The sequence below is a fragment of the Homo sapiens genome, chromosome 4 (assembly GCF_000001405.40).
Source record: "Homo sapiens chromosome 4, GRCh38.p14 Primary Assembly".
NCBI classification, from domain to species: Eukaryota; Metazoa; Chordata; class Mammalia; order Primates; family Hominidae; genus Homo; species Homo sapiens.
This window is the reverse complement of record NC_000004.12, coordinates 102,857,883-102,868,621: the sequence shown is the minus strand read 5'-3', so window position 1 is coordinate 102,868,621 and position 10,739 is coordinate 102,857,883. Positions and strand designations below refer to the sequence as shown.

General features: G+C 38.5%; 1 protein-coding gene and 1 non-coding gene across 3 annotated transcripts in view, besides 1 other annotated feature; both read left to right on the top strand.

Moving 5' to 3' along the window:
• Positions 1-10,739, top strand: part of UBE2D3 (ubiquitin conjugating enzyme E2 D3) — a 74,513-nt gene that overhangs the window by 274 nt on the left and 63,500 nt on the right. The gene's annotated exons all lie outside the window — the stretch shown is intronic.
• Positions 40-179: an enhancer, noted in NCBI's record as "active region_21762". NCBI's record gives its function as "activates an Ori minimal core promoter by ATAC-STARR-seq in GM12878 lymphoblastoid cells {active_cell/tissue: GM12878}" and the evidence as "EXISTENCE:reporter gene assay evidence [ECO:0000049][PMID:35858748]".
• On the top strand, positions 9,126-9,229 carry LOC124900903 (small nucleolar RNA U13). Its single transcript, XR_007058545.1, has one exon. It is a non-coding gene; the product is annotated as a small nucleolar RNA U13 (small nucleolar RNA).

Sequence of the window (10,739 nt, the reverse complement as noted above, 5' to 3'; positions counted from 1 at the left end):
TGAGTATCCTCCCCCTACCCAGACCCCAGTGCCTAATTTTACTCCTTCACCCAAAGGCCAGGCTTAAAAAAATAAAAATTAAAATATTTTAACTAAACCAGGAACTGTTTACATCTCTGCCCCTTGGCAACTTAACTGCAGCCCTAGCTCCAAAAACCTCTGGTTTTTGCCACTCAGAGAAGATTCGTAGTAGTCCTTCCTTAGATATTTTCAGTTCCTTTTCCTTCGGGAAAGTGGTAAAAGAATCCAAAGCTGGCCGGGCGCGGTGGCTCACGTCTGTAATCCCAGCACTTAGGGAGGCCGAGGCGGGTGGATCACGAGGTCAGGAGTTCGAGGCCAGCCAGGTCAAGATGGTGAAACCCCGTCTCTACTAAAAATAGAAAAATTAGCCGGGCGCGGTGGCAGGTGCCTGTCCCAGCTACTCGGGAGACTGAGGCAGGAGAATCGCTTGAACCAGGGAGGCGGAGGTTGCAGTGAGCCGAGAATGTGCCACTGCACTCTAGCCTGGGAGACAGAGCAAGACTCCGTCACAAAAAAAAAAAAAAAAAAGAATCTAAAGCCTTATGTATGGTTTTCTTTATGTTACAAGGCTTCTGCTGAAGTCTAGCGCAGGGGGTCCTTATGGCTTCCCTAGGCCACACTGGAAGAAGAATTGTCTTGGGCCACACATAAATACACTAACACTAATGGTAGCTAATGAGCTAAAAAAAAATTTTTTTTCATAAAGTTTTAAGAAAGTTTACAGATTTGCATTGAGTGGCATTCAAAGCCATCCTGTTGGGCAAGCTTGATCTTGAAGGTTTTAATTTTGTTGTTGTTGTTGTTGTTACAAGGTTTCGCTCTATCGCCCAGGCTGTAGTGCAGTGGTCAGATCATAGCTCACCGCAGACTCTAACTCCGGCTTAAGGGATCCTTCTGCCTCAGCCTTCCAAGTAGCTGGGTTTACAGGCGTGTGCTGCCACACCCAACGAATTTTAAAAATTTTTGTGTGTATGTAGATGGAGTCCCATTATATCGCCCAGGCTGGATAGTTGTTTTTATTAATATCTCTAAAAGATTTGAAGGGTAAGAGGAGAAAATTTCACTCCCTTGAAATAACTTTCTTGCTATGACTTTGTTTCATATTTTGGCTGAAGTCAAAATGTCCGAAGTTGTGCACTTGCTGATTGGATAATGTGTGTGATATCTTAATAATATGCCTCATTATTTACAGTTCTACACTTAACAACATATAATAACGAACTGCTAATGGTCCAGTATTTCATTGTGTATGACAGTGTAACAGCCAGTTATAATAAATACTTTCCATTTTTCCCCTTGGTATTTTTATTTTACAGTGAGAAAAGGAAGGAATTTTTTAAAGCAATCTTTCATTCTCTGGACTGTATAAATTTAGTGTTTGTGATTGTCCTTCACTAAAAAAGAATATCAGTAATAGAGTTGACCAAAATCTAGATTAAATAATTTTCTATCATTATAATTGTTCAAAATTGTTAAAGTAAAACTTACAATGGAAATTCTACAAACACGTTTAGATACAGGTTCATGTTTTTGAGCTAGGGCAGTATAGAAGATGGTGTATACAAAGTGATGTTTAAAAGGTTGATGGGATTTCCTTTAGAGAGAGTTTGGAGGTAAACCCTGGAGCTTTTTTATCCTGAAGATGATGGAACTTGAATATCCTTGTCCTCTGGACTATTCTGTTAACTGTTATCTTTAATCTCTGTGGATCTAATGTAGAAGCACCCTTGGGTACAACTAGATACCCTAGTTGAGGTAGGGGTAGGTTGGAAGTGGGGTACATTAGGAAAAGAAAATCTGGAAAAGGCCATTACCTATTCGTTTCTTCTCTTAGAGGATCTGTCATCTTGACAAGGGCAAGACGTGCTGTGTTGAGTTTAATTTTTCCCCTTGGTATTTTAAAGTGAGAAAAGGAAAGAATTTTTTTAAAGCAACTTTACATTCTCTGGACTGTATAAATTTAATGTTTGTGATTGTTGTGCATTAAGAATAAGACCTCCAAGCAGTTTTTCTTTAAAGAATTAAAAAATACATACCTCAATTTAAAGATATAGTAAAATGCTCAAATGCCAAATGTACAGTTCCAGGTAACCACCACCCACATCAATATACAGAATGTTCAATAGAGGCGTTTTTAAAAAGCGACCCTTCCAACCACATCCACCACCATTACTACTATTCTGTATTGCTGTGCATGTTTTTGACCCTCACATATAAGTAATTTTACAGTATGTAATTTTTTATGGTTGGCTTACTTCCTCTTAGCAGTTTATGTGAATAGCTGGTTTGCTATTTTCAAGTAGAAAAAATGTAGTGAATGCAAGTCTATATGGATAAAACTTTTTTGGGAGGCCTTGAAATTCAGAGAAAAGGTGTGGATCATATATTAGGTATTCTGATGCATTACATGAGCTATGCGAATGTGTAATAGGAGATAATTCCTAACTCCACCAATTTAAAAATCCTTATTATCCACTTAAAAGGAATATTTTCTTAAATTCCCTTTACTTAAAATTTAAATCCTGTTTTCATTTATATTTGTATTTCATTTCCACAACCCTGCCTTCTTGGCTGCACATGAAACATGGTCTAAAGATAATATTGCTCTAAATAGATGTAATAGGCTTATCTGACCACCTTATGCGATAGTGTTTTTAGACTCCATCTTTAAAAGACATAAAGAAACTGTGGTCAGAAAACTCAAGATAAATATGTAAATACAGTTAAAGGAGTCATTATTTACTTTCAAGCACTTGAGCTTGGATCACTCATCTTCTGCCTGTCCTAGCTAGGCCCAAGACTTTTATTTCTTTCATGTTTTTTTCCCATTAGGTCATCCAGTGCCCCAAATTCAAATATGATCGTTAAGATATAGCCCAAATCTCTATTTCCAGCCCAGATTTCTTTAGGCTAATCTTAATTCTAGGAGTCTAATTCCAAATGCCTACTAGTCTGCTCTTGACATCTTTGCCCACTGTGCTATTGGTTTGTTCATCAGTTTCACTGGTACATGTTTTCTGGAAAATATTACCTTGTTGGTTACATTGGTTGCTTATCTTTTCCTGTTGCTTATCTTCTCCTAGTGTATGTCTTTTTTTTTTTTTTTTTTGGTTGAGACAGAGTCTCTGTTGCCCAGGCTGGAGTGCAATGGCGCGATCTCAGCTCACTACAACCTCTGCCTCCCAGGTTCAAGTGATCCTCCTGCCTCAGCCTTCCATGTAGCTGGGACTACAGGCGCCCGCCACCACTCCCGGCTAATTTTTGTATTTTTAGTAGAGACGAGGTTTCACCATATTTGCCAGGCTGGTCTTGAACTCCTGACCTCATGATCCACCTGCCTCTGCCTCCCAAAGTGCTGGGATTACAGGCGTGAGCCACCGTGCCTGGCCGTGTATGTCTGTTTTTATACTGAAATTTGGTTTGGGTGTAGTCAAATTTATTCATCTTTTTCTTTACAATTTGTGTTCTGGGAGTCTTGTTTAAGAAATCTTTTTCTACCCCTAAATCACAAAGGTATTCACCTGTGTTTTTGCTAAAAGTTTTAAACTTATATTCTTCATATTAGGGCTTTACTCAACCCAGTACTTACTTTTTGTGCATGAGAAAGGGATCTACTCTCATTTGTTATTATTTTACATACAGACAACTATGTTCTAGCACCATTTATTGAAGAGTTAAACTTGTTTTTGTGGTTTGTAATGTCACTTATCTCAAATCAGGTTTCCACACATCCTGGGTTGCTTATTCTCTTCCATTGCTGTATTTGTATAACCTCTATAACAATACCATACTGTCATAATTGCTACAACTATATAAGTAAGTGTTAATATCTAGCAAGATAAGCTTCCCCACCTGTTTTCTTCAAATTGCATTGTGAATGCCTGGCCTTGTTACTACTCTATGAATTTCAGAGTCCTCTTGTCAAGTTGTATGAAAAACTTAACTTTTTACTGAAAATTAATTAGGGCCTCAGTTTTCTTCTCTTTGATATGGTGATACCAGTGGTTATGACTAGATACAATTAATTTTGTAATATACTCAATGAATGGTTATTATCATTATCGTCTTTACCATCAATGAATGACCCTTTACTCTGGCTTTCAGACCTTAAATTCAGCAATTTTACTGGTGACCACAATCTCACATTCTGGTACATTTTTACTGCCACTAAACATCCTTTGATTTAGTTTTGAAACCCTGTCTTTTTCTGCTCTGTCAGCCCATTCCTGGATAAATTGGGAAGTCAAGATAGGTTTGCCAATTTTTTATTTGGTCAAGAAAGGGCATTTAATAACAATATAACAAAACACTACTACTGTCTACTTACTGCAAGGAATTACATACAGCATTATAGTTAAGACTGTAGACTCTTGGAGCCACACTGTTTAGACTACAATTCTGATTCTACTAGGATAAATTATATAACCTGTAAAAATGTAGGTAATACCTACATCTTAAGGTTGTGTTGTGTATATTCACTGAATTAAGACATAGATAGCAATTAAAACAGTACCTGGCACATATACATGCATAGTTAGTATGATATTTCATCTTCATCATTTTTTTTACCTCATTATCAACTCATCTTTTTTATTATTAGCTGCACCTTGTTTTTTTCACAGTGGTTGGTCTAGATCTACATGATCAATGTAATTATGTAATGTGTCAATACTAATAACATGGCTATTGAGTATGTAAGATTGTTACTAATATAAAATGCTTAAGGAACCCCATGCAGATTTCTGGAGCTCTTTCTCTAGATGTGGTTTGTTTGACCCCTCCAAGTCTCATATTGAAATTTGATCCCAGCTGGGCACGGTGACCCACGTCTGTAATCCCAGCACTTTGGGAGGCTGAGCTGGGCAGATCACTTGAGACCAGGAGTTCAAGACCAGCCTGGCCAACATGGTGAAACCCCATCTCTACTAAAAATACAAAAATTAGCCAGGTGTGGTAGCACATACCTGTAACCCCAGCTACTCAGGTGGCTGAGGCATGAGAATCACTTGAACCCGGGAGATGGAGGTTGCAGTGAGCTGAGATTGTACCACTGCAACCAGCCTGGGTCACAGAGTGAGACTGTCTCAAAAAAGAAAAAGAAATTTGATCCCCAATGTTGTTGGTAGGGCCTAGTGGGAGGTGTTTGGGTCATAGGGGTGGTTCCCTCCTGAATGGTTTGGTATAGTCCTTGTGATAATTAGTTCTTACTCTGTTCGCTCCTGTGAGAGGTAGTTGTTAAAAAGAGCCTGGGGCCGGGCTCGGTGGCTCACGCCTGTAATCCCGGCACTTTGGGAGGCCAAGGTGGGTGGCTCACCTGACGTCAGGAGTTCGAGACCAGACTGGCCAACATAGTGAAACCCCATCTCTACTAAAAATACAAAAATTAGCTGGGTGTGGTGGCACACACCTGTAATCCCAGCTACTTGGGAGGCTGAGGCAGGAGAATCGCTTGATCCTGGGAGACGGAGGTTGCTATGAGCCAAGATTGTGCCACTGCACTCCAGCATGGGCCACAGAGTGAGACTCTGTCTCAAAAAAAGAAAAAAAAAACAAAGAAAAACAAAGAAGCCTGGGCATACCCATACCCCTCACTTCTGGCCTTTCTCTCTCACCATGTGAACTGTGTATTCATGGGTTCCTCTTGCCTTCTGCCCTCAGTGTAAGCAGTCTGAAGATTTCACAAGAAGCAGATACTGGCATCATGCTTCTTGTACAGCCTGCAGAACCATGAGCCAAATAAACCTCTTATTTAAATAAATGACCCAACCTCAGGTATTCCTTTACAGCAACCCAAACAGACTGAGACACATACTACAAAAGTTAAATGTACTGGACTTCTTAACAGTAGCTCTGGTAGTTAAAGGGCAATTCTTAAAATATCTGAAGAAAAACTACCTATAATTTAGAATTCTATACCAATCCAAACCAAGAACCCATTGTGAAACTACAATAAACTCATTTTCAAACCTAAAAGGTTTAAAAAATACACAATCTACGCATTCTCTTCTCAGAAAGCTAATAGAGGATGTGTTCCACCTAAATGAGGAATAAACTAAGAAAAAGTAGGACATTTGATCAAGGTATAAGAAACCCAAAATAAGAGAAAGGTAAAAGGAATCACAGATTGATGGATTGGAAAAGTAGATGAAATTAATGGAACAACTAATATGCTTTAACAAATTAAAAGGATACTTACAGTGGACTATAGGTTGGGGTTAAAATAATGATTATCATATGAGAAACTAATCAATTTTTTTAAAAAAAGAATTATTATTAAATCTGTCTATTCAACATTTTAAAGAGATAAACTTTTTTTATTAGAACATTTTGATTTTGGTGTTTGGTGTTCTTACTTCCCCTTTGTGTATGAGGAACTACATTTGGAACTGCCTTGCCTTAACCCCACAGTTTTAAGAGGAAGTCCAGCAAACTAGAAATAAATGGAAAACTAAAGAAACAAAACTGGGATCTATAAATCAATAACATGGCGAAACTATTTTGAAATCACCTTCCATAACACTTTGTGGTACTAAAAACTAACAGTATATAGAATTATCTATATAGCCAAGGTGGGAGGATCACCTCAGGCCAGGAGTTTAAGGTTACAGTGAGGTATGATTATGCCTCTGCACCCCAGCCTGAGCAACAGAGTGAGACCCTGTCAGTCAATCCATAATAAATAAATAAACAAGCAAACACATGATAGAATAGAGTGAGCTCTGAAGAAAGCTTCTCTTTTCTATAATTCTGTAAGTGTATACTGACATACCACTTTTGCAGTCATTGACTAGACAAAAGATTATGGTTACAAAGCACATATATGATATACATAATTGTATATGCATATGTGCATAATTAAAAGCTTAATTCCATAGATCTTTGAAGTTTCTTTTGCTATTTTGGAAGCCATCTTTTTTGCCTTAGAAATTCCATGGTTACTGTAATCTATAAATATAGTCATTAAATAATAAAATAACAAGGCAGATTCTTATTACCTCAGAAGTTTATGGAACTAGCTACTCCAAGCACCGATGAACTAGGCATGAAGAAGGAACCTGCATAATGCTTTGCGATATTGTAGTTGTGCACAGAATAAATGTGAGATTTAATAATGTTACTTTATATATTTAACTGTTTATATTTTGCCTCTGAGCTACTAAACTCAGAGATAGCATTCTGTGTGAAATAATACTATTCAGATTAAAGGCACCCTGACTGACATCAGCAAGTTGGTGGATTAGTAGGTTCCAGCCCTCAAACCCCTGCAGAAATACCAAATACCATTTTGGGAGCCTGGGAGACCTGCTAAGAGGTTCCAGCACCCCAGTAGAATGAAAAACTCAAGAATAGACACATTGAAGAGGGTAAGAAAAACAGTTTCACTTTACCTACATCCTTCTCCTCCAAGGCAGCAGAGTTCAGTGCCAAGAGAGGCCCTTTTGGCCCATGAGTTCTCCCAGGAAGGAAAGTAAGAGTCAAGTGAGTGCCCAGCTTCCCTAGCCTTGCGTGTTGCCGCCCAAAAGGCTCACTTCTGTTTTTCCCTATCCAGAATACTGAGGGACTCTTCACAGATGAATAGTCTAGGAATATCTAGGAGAAGGGAAAAGAAGCAGAGGCTTATAGCAACCAACACATGATTCTTCAGAGCTAGATGTGGAGTCTCCTAACTGGCTTGCAGACTCCACCATAGGCTCACCCATGAGCCCTACAGGACACTTCACCTGCAGAACCCCTCAACTGACAAGCACACCCAGCACTCCATGCACCCACCCACTAGCCAGCAGCCCAACCTCCCCTGCAGATAGTGTATGCAGGCCCCAGCAGATAGCACACAGATATCAGCAACTGGCTCCTGCTGGATTGGAAGAAAGCACACAACCTTGAACACTCTGAGGCACTGCACTAGAGAAAATAAAAGGAGGTTCTCAGCACATAGTCTAGCTTTGTGAGATTGAAAGAAAGCACACAATCCTAAGACTTCCCCTCCCAAGACAGAACAAGAGGAATGGAATGGGCATATCATAGAAAAGGTCTGAGAGACCTTCAGAATCTCTAGTCAGGCTGACTGGTGAACGTCTTTCCCTTCTGAAGCTAGTCAGTAAAGACTGGAGGAAGTGACTCTTTCTTCAGATGCAAAGTTAGAAGACAAGGCTTAAAAGAACACACACACACACACATACACACACACACACACACCAGGAAAACATGACAACCAAAGGAATAAATTAAAGTTCTAGCAGTTGAACACACACACACACACACCAAGAAAACATGACAACCAAAGGAACAAATTAAAGTTCTAGCAGTTGACCCCAAAGAAACAGAGACCTATAAATTACCTGATAAAGAATTCAGAACACTCACCTTGAATCTCAGTGAGCTAAACGAAATCAGGAAAACAATACATGAACAAATGAGAATTTCAACAAAGAAACCACTAAACAATCAAATTCTGGCTGGGCGCGGTGGCTCACGCCTGTAATCCCAGTGCTTTGGGAGGCCGAGGCGTGTGGATCATGAGGTTAGGAGATCGAGACCATCCTGGCTAACATGGTGAAACGCCGTCTCTACTAAAATTACAAAAAAAATTAGCCAGGAGTGGTGGTGGGTGCCTGTAGTCCCAGCTACTCAGGAGGCTGAGGCAGGAGAATGGTGTGAACCCGGGAGGCAGAGCTTGCAGTGAGCTGAGATCACGCCACTGCACTCCAGCCTGGGTGACAGAGCGAGACTCCATATCAAAAAAAAAAAACAAATCAAATTCTGAAACTAAAGAACACAATAACTGAACTGAAAAATTCAAAAGTGAGCTTCAGTGGCAGATTGAATCAAGCAGAAGGAAGAATCAATGAACTTGAAGACAGATCATTTGATATTATCCAGTCAAAGGAACAAAGAGGAAAAATAATAAAGTAAGCCTACAGGACTCTAAACCAATATGCGCATTATAGAAGTGGTAGAGCAAGCAGAGAAAGAGAAAGGAGGCAGATTGCTTATTTAAAGAAATAATAGCAGAAAACTGCCCAAATCTGGGGAGGAAAATGAACATCCAGATCCACAATTCCCAAAGAATTCCATGTAGGTTGAACATAAAGATGTCTTCATTGATCTTTTTGTGGTTCATAAGCATGATGATTGGGTTTTCATACCATTGTGTAAGATGTGCCTTTCTCAGACCTTGCCAAAACACTGGCACATTACCTGTCTGATATGAAAATTTTTTCACTGAGACACATTATGATCAAATTTTCAAAAGTTAATGACAAAGAATTTGAAAGCAGCAGAGGAAAGCAACTTGTCATGTACAAGGGAGCTCCTATAAGACTTTCAGCAGGTTTTTCAGCAAACCTTGCAAGCCAGAAGAGAATGGGATGATATACTCAAAATACTGAAAGAAAAGAAAAGCCTCCCAACTAAGAATAATTTACCCACAAAGCTGTCATTCAGAAAAGGAAAGATGAAGACTTTTCCACAAAAACAAAAGCTGAGGGAGTTCATCACCACTAGACCTGCCTCACAAGAAATGCTAAAACTGAAACTAAAGTTGAAGTACTTCAAGTGGAAACTAAAGGATGCTAATTAGCAACATGAAAACGTGAAAGTATGAAACTCCCTGGTAAAGGGAAGTATAGAGTTACATTCAGAATACTGTAATGTAATGGTGATACATAAAATCATTTTTAACTCTGAGTTAAAAGTATTAAAAATAACTATAGCTACAGTAATTTGTTAATTGATGCACAATATAAAAATGTAAATTTTGACATCGATAACAATGTGGGAGAGGATAGATGAGTTAAAGTGTCGAGTTTTTGTATGAGATCTAAGTTGTTATTATCATAAATGATTAGAATGTATCCCCAAACTAATTGTATTATATACAATATATACAGCTTTACATGTCAATCATACCTAAAGTAGTTATTTTTTTAAATTAACATGCTCTTTCCAGAACCATTACTTTATAGTAACTTGGAAGCTTTTACTACATTATTAATGGATATCAATAGAATATTTTTTAAAGTCGAAAATGACTTTAAACTTTAAACGACACCTTGTGTCGTTTCTGAACATCTTCATTTGATACTCCTAGAGATGCCAAACCTATTTCTTGTGAAAACTGAGCAAGGAAATACCAGGATCCCCAAGTAGTGGAACATGTCCCAAGAGTTCATCACACGTGTCTCTGACAAGAAAAACATCACAAAGAACCGTTATACAAGAAGCCTTAAACTACCACTGGTGGTAGAACAAAACTTAAAATCCCAAATATAACCTTGTTACTATAATAAAAATACTTTTAAGTCTGAATTTCAGATTCATCTTATCAGCATTTTGAGCTGTATGATAACACACTATTTTAATAAAATAGCCACTACTATTTTCAAGTGCTTACTATATGCCAAATCATGGTGTTTTATTTGTACATTATGTGTTTTAATTCTCAAGACAACCTTAAAGAATTAAAGTAACTTATTAGTGCAAGATCCTATAGAGCAGACCACTGCCTGTTTTTATAAATAAATTTTTATTGGAATATGGATACACTAACAAAAGAGATTAAAGGCATCCAATAATAACTTGGTAATGGCTGATCTTTTAAGAAAATACAGGCCGGGCACGGTGGCTCATGCCTGTAACCCCAGCACTTTGGGAGGCCAAGGCAGGTGGATCACGAGGTCAGGAGTTCGAGATCAGCCTGGCCAACATGGTGAAACCCT